The 18554-nt window shown below is 35.4% G+C and overlaps 1 protein-coding gene across 6 annotated transcripts in view; it reads left to right on the top strand.

Moving 5' to 3' along the window:
- PTPRK (protein tyrosine phosphatase receptor type K) overlaps positions 1 to 18554 on the top strand; it is a 551815-nt gene that overhangs the window by 182460 nt on the left and 350801 nt on the right. For 5 of the 6 annotated variants that reach the window (NM_001291984.2, NM_002844.4, NM_001135648.3 and 2 more), the window contains exon 3: positions 15830 to 16101. The exons of the other annotated variant lie outside the window; for it this stretch is intronic. In NM_001291984.2, coding sequence (NP_001278913.1) covers positions 15830 to 16101 — 272 coding nt within the window. The remainder of the gene's footprint in view (positions 1 to 15829; positions 16102 to 18554) is intronic. 6 annotated transcript variants of the gene reach the window in all.

The raw sequence follows: 18554 nt of genomic DNA, 5'->3' as shown, positions 1-18554 counted from the left end.
GCCAGAATGAAAATCTGACTTATGATAGCAACCTTCATCTCATTCAGCTTAAATCTTTTCTGTGTTTAACTATAACATTTAAGATAAAGACAAAACTGTTTATCTTTGCCTGCAAGTCCTGCTTGGTCTGTTTACTTCTTTGATCTCCATTGTCATCTTCCCCATTTTCTCCTCTGCAGCCAAACTTTCAGTCTCTTTTATTCATTGTACTTGGCCCTCTTCTAGGTCCTTTGCACAAGTGGTTTATTTTGCCTGAAATGATCTTCCTAATAACTCTCTTTCATTCTTCAGGTCACAGCTCAGACATCACTTTTTCAGAGACTTTCTCACCTTCCTGATGAGGTCATATCTCCCCATTACATGATTTCATAGCCAGACTGTCTTGTGTAGAGGTCATCACAGTTTCATTTGGCACACATTTTGTTGTTGCTTTGATTACTCGTGTGATGCTGCATCCATGCAGAAGAAGCCCCATGAAGGAAAAGTACTGAAATGGTATCTGTTAGAGTATTTCAGATTCATCCTCATGGGTTTTCAATGCAATTTTAACAATATTTACATCACATGATCCTTTTGCTGATAAACTTCTTGTTCACTTTGATAGGTGGCATAATATAGGAGCTAAGGGAGATAAGTTTATTGTTAGGTTCAAACTGAGATCTGAGCAGGTTACTTAACCCTTCTCCACTTCACGTTTTCCTGTACAATATTTAGCACTTTACATATTCAGTAACTTTCTCACTGGAGGATTGGGTAAATTAAATATTTTTACTGTCTTAAGCTATTCTTTTAATTATTTATATGCCAGTAAGTCACCATCAACACTTCCACTGATGGAGTATCAGCTTTCTGTAGATCACTACACAGAAAGGCCTAATGAGAGGTAATAGCCCTTAAGAAGTTTACTGCTGAGCTTGGAAAATTCTACACATTCTAACAAATACAAAGTGGGCAATGTAAATTTGTTTATTAACTAAAAAGTTGTATAATCAGACATAAGAGCTTATGAAGAAGGTAGGAATAAAGGTTCTTAGGGGAGAAAAGAGAATACAAGCTTTGCAAGAAGAAGGGGCACACCAGGCAAAAATGCTTATTTTATTATTATTATGAACCATGAACTGTTAATGAGCTATGAATTCATGCTGGTGGTTCATGGCAAGTTAGCATGGCAAGGTTTTTATGGACCAAGTTTGCGAGGATTTTTGAGCACCAGATGGAATGTATGATTCTTACTTGTGCTTGAGCATGCAGTTAATTGCTTCAACCAATAGAATTGTGTTGTTACTGGTGAATGTGTGTCACCATCACTGAAGCAATCACTACTAGTTCATGGTGTTTGCAGAGTTTAATCCCTGCTTGTAGGATCATTGTAAAGGAAAAGAAGTTTTTGTTTATTTGTTTGTTTAGTTACAGAAACAGTTCTTAGGGAGATACTTGATGGTATTTTAGTTAGAAGAAGAAAATGTTTGAGATATATTCTTGCTTATGGTTATTCTCAAGGGAGAGAAATTTGATCCTGTCTGTATGCTTGAGTTGCATCCATTTAGCTTATGAATGTTAATGAAAGCCTGAAAGTATATCACAATAGTAGATTGAACGATGTGACAGTGAAATTTTTGAAACTATTAAGTTTCTTCTTCCCTCCTGTAAGAGAAAAATTACCTCCCATTTTCCCAGCGCCTTGGGGTAGGGGAAGGACATCTGTGCTTGATTGTTGGTCTGAGATCTAACTGTTACTTCTTTTGGCTGAAGTTATTTTTTATTTTAGTTTCTACAGTACACCCCAGAGGGAAGCTTTAAAAAATTAGTGTGGGAACTAAAACTCTACAATTTCTCAATGTTTGTGTTTACCCATTGAGCCTTAAGTTAGCATTTATGAAAACATTAAAGTACAATTCTCAGTTGCTCTCAGGGCAAAAAAACAAACAAAAAAAAACAAAAAAAAAAACACACTGTTGGAATGGAGGTCACTTGCGTCATGCAGCTTTTCTGGTTATGTTTAAAAGGAATGTTTTGTTGAAGGAATATCTTTGGGTGATTGTATTTGTTAAGACAAAGTTGAATTAATTGTATGCTACAATCAGAGAAGTATTTGCTTGCTCTTCCTTTCCTCACCATTGGTCAATGTGGCATTTCATAATTGACCAGATGTGTTTTGGCTATTTTTTAAATTTTGTTTTTCAAAATAACTGCATTGCTAGCACTGAAAGTAGAATAGCCTATCCCAGAGACCTGGGATATGATTTAATATTATACTTTGCTCAATTATTGGAGACCACTAATTCCATTAAAGCTGCCTTAAGTTAATGTAGACTGAGGGGATTTTACAAGGGTTTCAGGTTTTTTTTTTCTTTAAGTATATATTTTATACCAAAACCTTGAGCTATAGTTGACGATCTTGTGACCAAAAGCAACAGTCTCAAAATTTGAGGAGATGGCACCATTCGCTTTTACTTTTTTATATCCTAGGATCTCAGTTTCTTTTATTATATTTGTATGGTTTATGAAGCTACTGGTGAGATGAAAAATAAAATAACCCTATTTTCTCTACCACCCTGTTTTCCTCTCTTTTCTTTCATCTTCTCAGAACTTAACATTTTAAAGTGTAAGCACTTATTTCATCCCTTTTTCCTTCTACTACTTGAGCTCTTTTCTTCATTTTGCTATGCCCAGTCTCTCATTTTTTTTTTTTTTTTTTGTTATCATTCCCTTTTGCTTTTATTTTCCTTTTCTTGTCTTAGAACCTCTAAGGCAGAACTGTTTCAAACAAGCAGACCGATTTTTGGCTTAGGTGATAGTACTTTGTAAATAAAAAAATGAAAAGATGTTTTCCTTTGACAGTTCCCACTTCCGTAATCCTTGCAACAATCCACTCAAACAGTGCTTTTATTATATCTAAGACATTTATCTGTTCCAGGCCTCAGATTTTCATCAGTAAGATGGTAGAGAGGAGACATAGTGGAAAGTGACAGAACGTGGCTGTTAATTTAGGCCTCTGACTTCAGAGCCTGAATTCTTAACCATTTCTTTTGTTTGTTTGTTTTTTGTTTTTGAGACAGTGTCTCACTCTGTCGCCCAGGCTGAAGTGCAGTGGCATGGCTTTGGCTCAGTGCAAACTTCGCCTCCTGGGTTCAAACGATTCTCCAGCCTCAGCCTCCCGAGTAGCTGGGATTACAGGTGCCCGCCACCACGCCTGGCTAATTTTTGTATTTTTAGTAGAGACAGGGTTTCACCATGTTGGCCAGGCTGGTCTTGAACTCCTGACCTCGTGAACAGTCCTCCTCAGCCCCCAAAGTCCGGGGATTACAGGCGTGAGCCACCGCGCTTGGCCTTAACCATTTCATAAACAGGAATATGCTTTTATTTGGGTGATGGGGGAGATTATATTTTTCCTTCCTTTTGAATATTTCATGAAGTGTCTTTTATTGTATTAAGAACTTCAGTGGACTTAAAGTTTAATAAAGGAAGAAACTTCTTTGGTGGCCAATTGAACTGCCCCTGTGACCTGATGATCCTTGTTCCTGAGAACTGAGTTGAAAAACTTTGTTCAATCTGAATTCTTCTCTAATTGATCATTACTTGCCATTTACTTATTCAGGAGAGCAGTGACCATTGTTACAGTTATAAAATTGAATAGTTATAATTGTTATTAGTTTTGAGTCACAGTAAGGTCTAGTTGTTCTTCATGTACTTCTTGTACTAAAAGTACTTTAGTTCTTCTAGGTTATGTTGTCTGAAAAGTGGGAACTTTCAGAATAATAGACTAGTTGAGTTGGAAGGAAACTTACATCATTCAGTACAGCTACAGGCATACCTTGTTTTATTGTGCTTTGCCTCATTGTACTTTGCAGATATTGTATGTTTTACAAATTGAACATTTTGGAAATTCTCACAGTATTTCATTTTGTGTAACAAAATGTAACATTTTGGTAATTCTCACAATATTTCATACTTGATTATTGTTAATTATATCTGTTATGGTGATCTGTGATCAGTGATCTTTGATGTTACTGTTGTAATTTTTTCATGCACCACGAACAGCTCCCGTATAAGATGGTGAGCTTAACTGATAAATGTTGTATGTATTCTGACTGTTCCACCTACTGGCTGTTCCCGTCTTTCTTCCTCTCCTCAGCCCTCCCTGTTCTCTGAGACACAACAATATTGAAATTAAGCCAATTAGTAACCCTACGGTGGCCCTTTAATTATCAACTTAAAGGAATAACTGCAGGTCTCTCACTTTAAATCAAAAGCTAAAAATGATTAAGCTTAGTGAGGAAGGCATATCAAAGCTGAGATAGGCCAATAGCTGGGCCTCTTGTTCCTGTTAGCCAAGTTTCGAATGCAAAGGAAAAGTTCTTGAAGGAAATTGGAAGTGCTACTCCAGTGAACACCCAGATGATAAGAAAGTGAAACAGCCTTATTGCTGACAGGGAGAAAGTTTTAGTAGTCTGGATAGGAGATTAAACCAGCCACAGCATTCCCTTAAGCCAAAGCCTAATCCAGAGCAAGGCCCTCAACATTGAGGCAAGACCCTCTACTAGCAAAAAGATAATGACTTGCTGAAGGCTCAGATGATTGTTAGCATTTTTTTTAGCAATAAACTATTCTAAAATTAAGGTATATATTTTATATATCTTATATACCTTTTTTTTAGACATGATGCTATTGCACACTTAATGGACTACAGTATTGTATAAACATAACTTTAATATGCAGTGGGAAACAAAAAATAAAAATTTGGTACCTTCAGAAATAATGTGACTACCGAGTAGAATGTTTTGACTTTGAGAATATTCATTTACATAGAAATCATAGATGTGTTGTGCACTCATTCTCTTTAGACCTTCAGTTCTGGTCTTTAATGTTTAACAGTGTTGAAGTATATCCAGACAACAGGTGGGAATTGTTAGCATGATTTTTAGTCTTCAGGCAGTTTCCAGGGAATACAGGCCACACTACCTTCTCTTACCTTTAATTGTTCATTTCAATCTTGGATCTTTTGGAAAGGTGAGTGATGATTACAAAATTGGCCACAGGACAAAGCCTTTATTGCCTTTTGGGTCATGTTACTGATTATTTTCTCTTAAGTTGCTTTTCTTTTTAGCAGCTACTTCTCAAAACTTTTCACTACTATGTAACATAAAAGCTGTGCAGGTTGGATAGCTGTAGGAGAGTGCCATGATTTCAGAAATTGGAAAAATCTTAAAACAAGAGTTCTTAAACTTAGATCAATGAGTCCTTTGAAATTGTTGGTGAAGTAAGTGTGTGTGTTTCTTGGAGTGGGCGTTGAGGCAACAATACTTTAAATTTACTTCAGATTTCAAAGAAAGAGTGAGAGAGGGAGGGTTATAGAGGAATAGGAAGGATAAGACTGAGAAAGAGGCCTGACTCACTTTGGGATGAAAGGGATAGGTAGAGTTGTGAAGGGAAGGGTTAAGAAAGGTTATGAAGGTTAAGTGCCATTAAGTTGGAAGTTTTTAAGTGTACCACCCTTTAACATTGTCATCTCATTTTTAAACTTCGAAAGTATTCTCTTCATACATTTTCTAGTTTTATTTTCTTTACTGTTTGGTGGAAGAAGGAATGAGTACGTCTAAAGGAACAAGTATTGAAGACCCATCTATTCCTCTCGTCAGTGTGCCTTCGCACATCATGGAGGTAGTCTCATTTAGTCCTCACACCGGACCTCAGTGGGGTGGGCACTTCAAGATGAGGAAACAAGACAGAGAGGGGTTAAATTATTTGCCCAGGATAAACAAGTAAATAGATGTGTAGGAAGTAGGGAAAATTGGAGTCCTGGAAGGTACTGGAAAGGAAATCAAAACCTATTATAAAATTAGCCACTTTTAAATAGGAAACAGATGGCACTAATCCTTTTAACTATTTATGACATAGGTTTCCTATGTCATAAAGATGAAACTGGAAATTTTGTTCGTCAAAGTAATGGCCAAGTACTTGTTTTTTGTCTCCTTAAGATGTAGTAGGGGAAGGGGATTAAACTATAAAACAATGCTTGGCCAGGTTTCTAAATCTTAATGTGTAGTGTAGCGGGTAAATTCCATGAGGACACCCACTTCCTAAGAAGGAGAAATTTGCTACTTTCTACTGAAACTTTCATTTTAGTTTTTTTGTGTTGCCTGAAGGTTTTTAGAAGCTATTATCTTAAATCCATACATTTTTCTATTTTCAAATGTAAACTGGCTACCTAGAACAAATACAAAGCACTTCCTCAGAGATCAAGAGAAATTTTGTCATTCGGACTGTGAAGGAAACAGGTTTATATTTTTACAAGGCAATGGGAGGGACATGTCACGGATACTAAAGTTGTTGGAAGTAGACTCCTGCAAAGATGCAAATTCAGTTAATTTGAAGTTTGGGGGACAAGTTTACTTTTTCTAACTTTTTCTGACATTTTGTAATATTTGCCTCATACTGTCTTAGAAACAAACTGTATGATGTAGGGGATAGACCTCATTAGAAGAGAAGCATCCATCTTAAGAAGTAATAGAATGTAAAAGCTCGAAGAATTAAAACTAGACTGTACAAAAAGTGATGGCACTGATGTCCGTCTAACCAAATTAATGGAGTATTTTAGGGTTATTCTCAAGATTGAAAATTTTGCTTATTATCATTTCAAATTTTACTCTTTTTTTTTCTCTTTGACTATCTTTGAAAAAAAAACAATACTTAAAAAAATATTTTTGCTTACCTTCAGTGGAGCTTGCCAAGTTTACAGGTTACACAGTCCCTCTGTTAGGGGCTGGCGAGGCCAAAGAGGTTTCTAATCTTAAAAAGCTTGCACTAGGGTTTTGGGGATGCACAGACAGATATGGTATATTTTGTACATAAAAGAGCATTATGTAAGTGCTATGGGAATGCAGGGCAGGAAACACAAATAGATAGTTGTCCGACTTTTTTATAAAACATCCAACTTCAAACTGAATACTCCAGACCTTGTTCTAGATTTTTGGATGAACAACATACATGAAATCCCAACTTTTCATGGAGTTTTTCAATTAAGTAAACAAATAAATTCAGTAAGTGGAAAGTGCTATAAAGGAAATAATAAAAAGTGATATGTTAGAAAGAACCCTGGAAGGAACTACTTTAACAGACCTAGGAATGCTGCACCAATAGATGAATGATGAAAATCAGCCAGCTGAGGACAGAGCATTTCAAACAGAGGAAGGTCCAGTGCATGGAGACTGAGACAAGCATAAACTTAGGTGTTTTTTTGTTTTGTTTTGTTTTGTTTTTGTTTTTGTTTTTGTTTTTGTTTTTGTTTTTCAGAAAAAAAGCCCATTGTATCTGAAACATCTTGTGTAAGGGAAGAGAGGTGTAAGAAATAATGTTGGAGAGGAAGGCAGGCACCAGATCATGTTGAAGCTGAGGGGTGGGGCTAAAGAGTTTGGATTTTATTCTCAATGCAATGTATGAGAAAGATTTAAAAAAATTAACCTGGCTATGTATCAGAAACGATTGTAGGGCTGCTAGTGTGGAAATCATAAAACTTGCTAGGATTCCATTCTATTTGTCCTCCTGAGAGGTAATAGGAGTTTGGTAAAACTAGTGGATATGAAGAGACGTGAATGGATTGAGGAGAGAGCTTGAAAATAGAAACAATGAGAATTGCTAGTTAATTAAAAGAGGAAAGTGAAGGAAGGGGAAAAATCAAACTGATTCCTAGTTTGATCATTGAGTCCTTAGTTTTAATAATTGGTTATATTTGTTGCCACTTAATCAGATGAAAAAAATAGTGGTAGGAGAAGAGGCTTGAAAAAAGGAAATGAAAAGATGAACGATATGAAAAGGAGGGTAATGGCATTGCCTTCAGCACAAAGGTAATAGCAACAGAAGTACTTAGAGAGATTAATTTTATAACAAAGAAAAAAAATATCCCCGATGGGCTGAGACCCAAATCATGATTTCACTTGTCACTCTTCTTTCTACTTAGAGATCCTGATTATTGCTTCTTAAGCTGTCTGGGCATGAAGCAATATTATTGTATAGTGTCTTTAGTTTTTTTACACCAACAGTTTCTGGCATGTTCTTTGTTACTACTGGGAAAATCTCACTCAATGCCAAGAGCTAGCTGTTTTGCACAGTGCGTTGGTGCTTTGGTAGCTATTCAAGATGGTCTCCAGAACACATAAAAATACTTTTCTTATGAGGATAGAATATTACTTAGTCCTCTGTACTCCTCCGCTCATACATAACAATCTGATTCTCTGATGTTGAGAGACTAGAGTGGAAGAAAGCCCTTTGTGACGGTCAATTTTGTGTGTCAATTAGACTCAGCGATAGGGTGCCCGAATATTAGGTTAAACATTATTTCTAGGGATGTGTGTGTGTGTGTATGTTTCTGGATGTGATTAACATTTGAAATGGTACACTGAGTAAAGCAGATAGCCCTCCCACTGTGGGTGGGCCTCATCCAATCGCTTGAAGTACTGAGATGAATAAGGAGTAAGAAATCCCTCTGTGTCTGACTGTTTACAAGCTGGGACATCAGTCTCCTGCCTTTGGACTTGGACTCAGATTGGAACTTACACCAATGGCTCTCCTGGTTATTGGACTCAGACTTGGACTTGAACTGGAATTTATACCATTGACTGTCCTGTTTCTCAGGCCTTTGGGCTCGGATTGGAATTATACCATCAGCTCTCCTGTCCTGAGTCTGGACTTCTCAGCTTCCACAATCATATGAGTCTATTCCTTGTAATATTGTGTGTGTGTGTGTGTGTGTGTGTGTGTTTATCTATATATTCCTTTTCTCTGGAGAATCCTGACTAATATATCCTTCGTACTAGGGTAGAAAATTTCAACTTTTTTCATCTTCATTCTTCAGACATCCAACACTCTGGTGAAGGATTTTGTTTTCTAACTGATTTTATAGAGTACATCTTTATACCCTGCAGAGACTGAATGAGTGAAGTAGACTCAACATAAATAAAAGCACTAATAGTGTTCTCATTAGAGCAGAGCGATAAAAAGATTTATGTATATTAAAATATAGGGTTCTCTACATGTGATCCAAAGATCTCTGTAGACCCTCATACTCTTTCAGGTGATCCATGAGGTCAAAATTGCTTATCAATAACATTGAAATATAGTTTTCCTTTTTTCTCTTTCATTTTCTGATGAATGAATAGAAGAATTTCCCAGAGGTTACATAATGTATGATACTACAACAGATTGAAAGATGAAGTAAAAATGAGAATCTAATTGCCTTCTATTGAGACAGATACTAAAGAGATTTGTAAAAAGTAAAACAATGCTTATTACTTCTTACTATCTTTTTTGTTTATTTTGGGAAATGGTTATTTTTCATGAAAATATAGTAAATTATGAGATCATTGCTAATCTTAAATTATTATTTTTGAGATTTTTCCATTTTAAATTCTAATATGGTCAATATTGATATAACTCAGAAACAAAAGCTGCTTGATATCCTTAGTATCACAAGTATAAAGGGGTCCTGAGACTAAAACATTTGAGAACCTTTGTTCTAATATAAGGTTTCTTATATATACCAGCGTGACTCTGACAAATACATTAAATATGTACTTCCAAACATTATACTCGTTCATTAAATCCTTATGTTTGGAAGCAGCATAAACTAGTTTCATTTGTTTTTCTTTTTGTTGTTGTTTTGACATTTTCTGGTAATTTATCTCACATATAGTTAGAACTAGTGCTGCCTCAATTGTTCATGTTATTAACTAGTGTCTTTGTCTCCTCATTCAATTGGTAATCTAACTAATCAAGTAACAAGTGTTTATTAGACTTCTACTGTATGCAAAGCCCTTGTTAGATAGGGTGCCAGTTATCAATTTATTGCCCCGGAGCTTAAAATTTGTCCTTCATTACCTGCCCTGTCATAGTAGCACTTGACCCTTTAAGCGGTTCTGCTTTACAGCTGGCACAGTGTTAAGCTTTGTCAGTAGAGGGCACTGGAGAGACACTTAAGAAAGAAGGATCATCTATTCTTGGTTGAATTGTGATCCTAAGTTTGTTTTTAGTTGGTGGTACTGCACAGTGGACGGAGCTGTGTGCATGTAGCAGACATAGTCCCTCAGTGAGCTTGTAGCAACAAACCTGGCCTGGTGACTGCCTTGCTGTGGCACACACATACCCCAGGCCTCATGCCACTCTGCTGCAGGGAGAATGTGTCCTGTTTCCCTAGCTTCCCTAGAGCAGGATTGGCTCTGGCCTGAGTGACCCAGCAGACTTTATCTTCCCGTGAGCTGCAACTGCACCTTCTTTAAGGAAATCTGATTCTCAGCAACCTCCCCTGTCTATATTGGTTTCTTTCTTGGGTACTTTGATTGTTCTTTAAGGTTTTCTTCACAGCGTTAAAGTTTCTATCTTCTTATAGGTAGTAATTCTTTATATTACATTTTCACTGTTAAATTTACTGTGTGGCTTCTCTCTTCTGATTGGACTCTGAATAATTCAGGTGCTTTCTAAGAGAACAAAATTACCCTTCTGAGGTTGACAAGAGATATCCCAGTAAATCATTTAAAATTGGCACAAAAGCAATGTATAATTGGGGGCCAGAATCAGACATTTAGAAACTGTGAGACAGTTTGAGGACAGAAAACTGGCATGATGTGTGGAGAAAATAATGAGGGGTCTGTCAGACTGGAGAAGGTGGTTTGTGAAGAGAAGTGGGAGGTAAAATGACCAGTTACTTTGGGATAAGATCATGGAAAGTTGTGAATACTAGGCAAAGAAATTGAAATTTTGCTTTTAGTTTATAGGGCACATTCAACAGATTTTAAATAAGAACTGACAATACAAATATTATGTTAGTGTACTAAAGTATACCAACACATACATATATAAAGGAGTTTTAGAAGAAAGTATGGAAATCTATTTATCATGAATTATTTTCTTTGCTATTGATCCAATTTCCCATGTAAATACCTTATTCATAGAAGTGTAACTTAAAGATAAAAAATAATTAATGTATAAAATCCATAGGGCATTACATATTCATCTATATACTAGATTATGTTATTTTCCTTGCCCATTCTTTTTAGTAAAAACTGTCATTTGTTTTAAGTCTTCTCTGCCTTTCTCTTTTTTAATGAATTGGAATAAGAAGTACTCAATTTTTGTATTGTGTTTTTTGAAATATTTAGTTATTTATAGGATCCTATTTGTATCCTATAAATACAAATAGAATTTATTTTTAAAAGATTTAAAAAACACGCTTGTGTTTATTTACTATTTATCATTATTCATTTGATTTTCCTCTTGTAAGATAGTATTCATGTAGTCTCTGTTTTAATAAAAATGTGCAAATCTAATGCCTATTCATTATAGAACTCTCAGAAACTGTACATATGCAAAAACTTTTTTGAAAACCTAGAAGACAATTACAGCCCACCAGATAATATACCGTTAAGATTTTGCTACATATTTTTCCAGTCATATGTACAAGTGTATGTGTGTGCATATGTGAATATACACACATTTACACAGATATAATTATTTAACACAAATATGTATTTTTCATAAGTGGGTTTAATATTTTATAACCTGCATATTTTACTTAACATATTGTAAATATCTTCCATAAAATGTTTTAAAATAATATTATTCTTAATGACTGCATTATTGTTCATTAAATTGATTTGCTGTAATTTTGCAAATTACTGATTATTGAATATTGAGAATACTTAATTTTTCTCTGTTTTAAATAGTGTAATGAGTTAGGCATCTTTTAAAGCTGTATCTTTTATACATACCTGATGGTTTATTTAGTATACATTTGTAGACATGGAATTCCCAGATCAGAAGGTATGTATCTCTTTTTTTAAAATATACTTTAAGTTCTGAGATACATATGCAGAATGTGCAGGTTTGTTACATAAGTATACATGTGCCATGGTGGTTTGCTGCACTCGTCAACCCGTTGTCTACATTAGGTATTTCTCCTTATGCTCTCCCTCCCCTTGCCTCCCAACAGGCCCTGGTGTGTGTTCCCCTCTCTGTGTCCATGTGTTCTCATTGTTCAGTTCCCACTTATGAGTGAGAAAATGTGGTGTTTGGTTTTCTGTTCTTGTGATAGTTTGCTGAGAATTATGGTTTTCAACTTCATCCATGTCCCTGCAAAGGACATGAACTCATCCTTTTTTATGGCTGCACAGTATTCCATGGTGTTTATGTGCCACATTTTCTTTATCCAGTCTACCATTGATGGACATTTGGGTTGGTTCCAAGTCTTTGCTATTGTGAATAGTGCTGCAGTAAACATACGTGTGCCTGTGTCTTTGTAGCAGAATGATTTATAATCCTTTGGATATATACATAGTAATGGGATTGACACGTCAAATGGTATTTCTAGTTTTAGATCCTTGAGGAATCACCACACTGTCTTCCACAATGGTTGAACTAATTTACACTCCCACCAACAGTGTAAAAACATCCTATTTCTCCACATCCTCTCCAGCATCTGTTTTTTCTTGACTTTTTAATGATCACCATTCTAACTGGCGTGAGATGGTATCTCATTGTGGTTTTGATTTGCATTTCTCTAATGACCAGTGATGATGACCTTTTTTTTTATGTTTGTTGGCCGCATAAATGTCTTCTTTTGAAAAGTGTCTGTTCATATCTTTCACCCACTTTTTGATGGGTTTGTTTTTTTCTTGTAAATTTGTTTAAATTCCTTGTAGATTCTGAATATTATTCCCTTGTCAAATGGATAGATTGTAAAAATTTTTTCCCATTCTGTAGTTTGCCTGTTCACTCTGATGGTAGTTTCTTTTGCTGTGCAGAAGCTCTTTAGTTTAATTAGATCCCATTTGTCAATTTTGGGTTTTGTTGCAATTGCTTTTGATGTTTTATTCATGAATATCTCTTAAAGGTCTTTTATGTCAAATTGCTGTCTATAAAGGTTGCACTTAAAACAAACAAAAAGCATATATAGTTTTCTCTGTGTTGAATGATATATTTGAGAACTCTATTGATCAAGAGACTGTAAGGAATATTTGTAAGGCCACTTTAAAGAAGTTTTAATTAAAAGCTAGTACATTGTATGTGTGGGAACATAGATGTTTTATTAAGCCTTGAGATAACTAAACTCTTGTTAGAAATCTGAGGAATTAGTTAGCTGGTAACAGAACAATCGTAAATAAGCTTAAATTATAACATAAAGTATGAGAGAAGTACATATTGTATAATTTCCCAAGTGTAAGGATTGGGAGCCAGTTATTCTGGGAGACTACAGAAGTGATTTTTAGATGTTGATAAGAATAGCACAGTATCTTCTGTGTTTGGGATGATGGAAGGGAATTTTGTTTCAGACAGGCAGCTTCCTCCCTAGTGCCTACTGGGTAAATTGCCGTTATATCAAGTCAGTAGGCAGAAAGATTTAGATGGCTTTTTGGTGCTAGTGCTTTCTTCCTCCTTTCTGGAACTGTGCAATAAATGCATTATTATTCCAGAGCACTCGGAGAATGTGGCAGTAGTCAGGCATTATTGAAAGAGGGCCATTTAGCGGAAACATTCTATAGAGATGAATTATCAACACTATTTTTCTTTATTATTTAACTTGCTTGAAATGTTGAAATAGTGTAGACAAGCTTTTATTTTGTGACTTTTGTCTTCCTAGTGATCAAATTGATAATGCCTACAAATGAATATACCTTGCCCATCCGGTTTCCCTAATAAGACAGATAATTATTGTAGCTTAAGGGTACAACTGACTGAAAATTCCTAAATGGTCTTTATAGTAAATATTATGCTATATAATTAAAATGTGACACAAAGCATATTTTTACTCCAAAGTTTATTTTATAATAGGAAAAAATGACTATTAGAAAGCCAATAAATCATTTAGAGATTACTACTTTAAAGTTGACATTCAGAAGCCATAATTGATACAGACCTCTAAAAATAATTTAAATGCACTACTGCCATAATATTCCACTGAGGGGAGGGGGTGGAACTGTTATAGTAGTGGAGAAATAGGCTACAGGTTTGTGAAGATGCTGAGGCCCAGTAACAAACACTAGGTAACTTATCCAAGATCTCAGGGCTGGTCCTCGTTGAAAGGAATGATTGGTCTGCTATGCAGTGGCAAATCTGAAAGACATCTTGCCAAATCAACCATTGACTTCAGAATGTGAATATAATAAAGAATAGAAACATCCTGCTTCTATAAATTGGGTTGGGATCCAGGATATCCTTTTTAAAAATAAAGACATAATTTCTCCAAAATACACACGGACAGTTTATTCTATTAATGTGCCGTCTGTGAGACTCAGAAAGAAAGAAAGAGAGAAAAAAAAAAGAATCCTAGCTTACAAGAGAAGATGATAACTAGGAAAAAGAAGTGAACAATAATATCAGCCACTATCACTATGATCTGTTTATTCTGTACTTCGATTATACTGAAGTGTTACAGAAATCTTCCCAAAAGCTCTCAACCAGAGGCTACCTACCACTCAGTGGCAATCGGTCACATTTGAAATTTGGCTTCTCAAATAGTTGACACCATCCTCTCTGCCATGATTTGCATCTGTTGTTGAGGGTTAATTGAACAAGTTAGACTAGTAGTTATTGAGTGGTTAATGTGTCATGGGTACAAATTTTGGGGAGGGAATGCAGAAGATTGATTACTTTTACATGTTGTCAGGAAGAAAGGGTCAAGTGCAACTCTTATAACACTGAGTTTTATAACACTACATCTGATATATTTTGGTTAAAATTACATGCTAGCAAAGAAAAAAGATATTTTACAATAAAATTTGTGTTCCATCTTCTGTGTAATAAATAGGCATATTTGCATTTTTGTGATATGTGTCTTTGTTAAAATCCACAATGACATGAGAACAATTGGTTGTCTTACTGGAGAGTTTTCTGGGACTAAAAGCAGCAGCCCGTTGTTCAAGTCTCATTTTTGTACTTAGTCTCTGTGTGGCCTTTGTCTGCAATGGAAAGTCTATATGTGAGCTATGAGAGTGGGACTCTATGTCCTGTGCCTCCTCATGACAGATAACCAATGAACACTTACTAAGTCAAAGGGATAGAGTAGATTGGTGATTTTAAACTGGGTTTCTTGTAGCTCTACAAGAGTTTAGGGACTGTTACAGAACTGGGGCCAGTAGCAGTGGTGATTAGCTGACACCTTAGTGGGTGAGACTCCAAGTGGGGAAATCTGCTGTGTCCTGATCCTCAGCTCTAGGCATTTTTAACTTTAGCCCTCATACTGACACTACAAAGTGTCCTCATTCCCTGAACTGAGGTTCAAAGTTAGTATGTTACAAATGATCACATAACTTGTATAAATGATGATTTTCCAATACGAAATTAGAAATGGTTCCATTGTTTGCACTCTAAGCACATCTCCCTGCAATAATATTCTGGATAGCGAAAAATAAAGGTGTACCCTTTGTGTAAACCAGGCCAATAATGTATCGCTTTTGTGTATGTGTGTATACATATATATATATATTATATTAAAAGACTTGTGTTCAGTAATACCAGAGATTTAGAGTGAGATCTGGATTTGAACCCAGCTTTGAGTGTTACTAATTGTGCCTCAATTTCCTAATTTGTAAAATAGGATAATAACAGGTTGTTGTGGAGACTAAATGAATTGATACAGAATGTGTACTTTGAACACTGTCTGTTACCTAGTAAGAATTCAGTTCATCTACTTATTTGATTGATGTATTTCTGTGGCTGTGTTCTGGAAAACAGTCTTTTTAACTTAAATTTAATGCTCAGAATGGATTAGCATATTTTTATTGTTATATGTTCCCTTTGCTTATATATCTCTTTAGCATTATTATTTGTAATGTCATTTCAGGTTCCTATATGATAGTGGACTCTTCAGATCACGACCCTGGAGAAAAAGCCAGACTTCAGCTGCCTACAATGAAGGAGAACGACACTCACTGCATTGATTTCAGTTACCTATTATATAGCCAGAAAGGACTGAATCCTGGCACTTTGAACATATTAGTTAGGGTGAATAAAGGACCTCTTGCCAATCCAATTTGGAATGTGACTGGATTCACGGGTAGAGATTGGCTTCGGGCTGAGCTAGCAGTGAGCACCTTTTGGCCCAATGAATATCAGGTAATCATCTGTACTTTTCTGGTGTATGTTTTGATGTCATCAGTTCTCACTATATGTGTAATACATAGATGTAAATATGCATCTCATGGTAATGAGAGATTGCCCTCTTGCCTCCCCCACCCCCATTATTGGGGAAGTGTCATACATAGATATACATATGCATCCCATGGTAATGAGAGATTGCCCCTCTTTCTTCCCCACCCTGTTGATGAGGAAGTGTTTGGAGACATTGGCACAAAACCTTCAAACTAGAGAAAGTATTTCTATGTGTTAAAATAAGTTTAGGTCCAAAATTTGTTGGTGGTTTGACAAAGAGCTACTTATTGACAGATTCTTTCCTACAGCTTTGTTCAGGAAGAAATAGCCTTTTTGAGTTTATTGTAATCTTCAGACTGGACTGATTTACTGACTTTTTGAAAGTAACATTTGGGAAATAAATGTGATGTAGAGTTTCATGAACTATGTTAAGGGGGAGGCATTTTCATTAATTATTTTAATTTTGATTAATTAATTGAATAAATTAAATGACATATAAAAATAAGCCAAAAAGGATAAGTTATTCACAAAGCTTTGGATGTTTGTTTCAGAAATGATTCATTGAATTATGATTAAATCAGACAATCAATAGTGTCAGTACCCACTTTATGATTCTGTGACTGAGTTTATATGCTCTTAACAAAAAAAAGGTTCATTTACTAGTTTGGAGAGTTTGTTCAGTAACCCTCACTATGAGGTTCCGTCCCTGGATGCTGTTATTTCTTTAAAAGGTCAATTTTGTGTTAGACCTTGAGATTTAAACTTTTAAAGGACTTGTTTATTTGTAGCTTATTATAAAGCCTAAAGAGAATACATTTATGTAAAAGTATATTTTATGATGGTCAGCAAGCAATATATAAACTAATAGTTTTATTTCTGCCTTTTAAAAATGAATTATGTCTTTAAGTTAGGTTTGTCTTTATTCTTGAAGGGGAAAAAAGAAATGCTTTGCTTTAATTGCTTTGTCTTGAGTTGAGTTTTCTGTTTTATTAAAAGCCTCCTACATTGTAGGCATGGTTCCACAGGTAAGATTTTCAGTTCAAGGTTGTATGTTTATTGAGTTTTCAATGGATTTTCATTAGATACAAGTTGATTCTATTATTCCGGAGCATAAGGATATTTCTCTTCAGTCAGAGAGAGCCATCTGCTTTTTCAGGGTCCACAGCCCCAGGAGGGCTGCATATATGATATGGTAGGTAGGTGGATGGGAGTGTGTGAAACTAATGCTAGAGCACTTGTTGCAAGATCAGTGGGCTCAACTCTGACAAAAGTGGGTTGATGGCTGTCATCACCAGGTCACTCTCACAATGCATTATCATTGTACTGATTTCATGAGAATCTGTCATAGGAGCTTAACTTAGCACTGGAAAGAAGTTCTGATTCAACAGAGTCAGCCTCCACAAAACAAATTAAAACCCCCAATAAAAATTAATCTAGCACACTCCTTAAAAATATGGGTTTTGAAGTCAGATTGCCTGTATTCAACCCTGTTCACAACTTGTTTCCTGTGTAGATAGTTCTTTAAGGAATCAGACTGTCAGTTGTACTTTAAAACAAGAACAATAACAACATAGAAGTAACTGTTGATAAATCCAGCAAGTAGTATATCTGTGATATATTTCTTTTTCCTCGTAACTACGAAATAACATACATGTAGTTATTTTTTCTAAGTTGTTAAAGATCTATCTTTGAATCATTGATGTTAATAACATTTTCTCATGGCACAGATTACTGTGGTGTTAATTCTACTATTAAGTTACAGTAATTTGAACTGGATTAATAATTCTTTGTTCAGTCTCATTTTGCATGACAAAACCCCCTTCGTTATATGTGCTTGTGGTGTATTTAAGCAAGAAGTACAAAAAGTGCCTGGGTGAGTTCCAGCCTGGCCAGTGACATCATTTTGGAGATGTTTTGTCAGAGAAAATGATGACTAAATAAATACATGGAACCTATGGGTAAATGTCTCATTGTTGCAGATTAAAATTTGAGCCATAGATAATTTCTTAAGTGATTGTTTTGCTCTCACATCTTTTTCCTTAACCTACAAAACTTAATCAATGAGAGCAAACAACAGAGTACTTTTTATTCATGTGCTTAGTGCTCAGTAAATTACTTGTTTGATGTTTTTATCAATTTAATCATTTAGATTATTAGTTGTACCTGTACATTTGTGATTAGAAACAACCAACATAACATAAACTATATTTATGTGCTTTCTTTCTCTTGGAAAGTAACATGAAAAACATTAAATCTCCCATACATTTTGATAGCTTTCAAAGTCAAATCAATACCTGTGAAGTGTTTGGTAAGTGCTGGTTTGCTGGCAAAACACGGTAGAATTTTTTGATTGGTGTTTTAGGTGCTGATGTCTCTATATTTAAAGAGAAACTCAACTGCTTTAAATACCAGATATT

This window comes from Homo sapiens, chromosome 6 (assembly GCF_000001405.40).
Source record: "Homo sapiens chromosome 6, GRCh38.p14 Primary Assembly".
Lineage (NCBI taxonomy): Eukaryota > Metazoa > Chordata > Mammalia > Primates > Hominidae > Homo > Homo sapiens.
The sequence above is the reverse complement of the archived record's forward strand: the minus strand, read 5'-3'. Positions and strand labels throughout refer to the sequence as shown.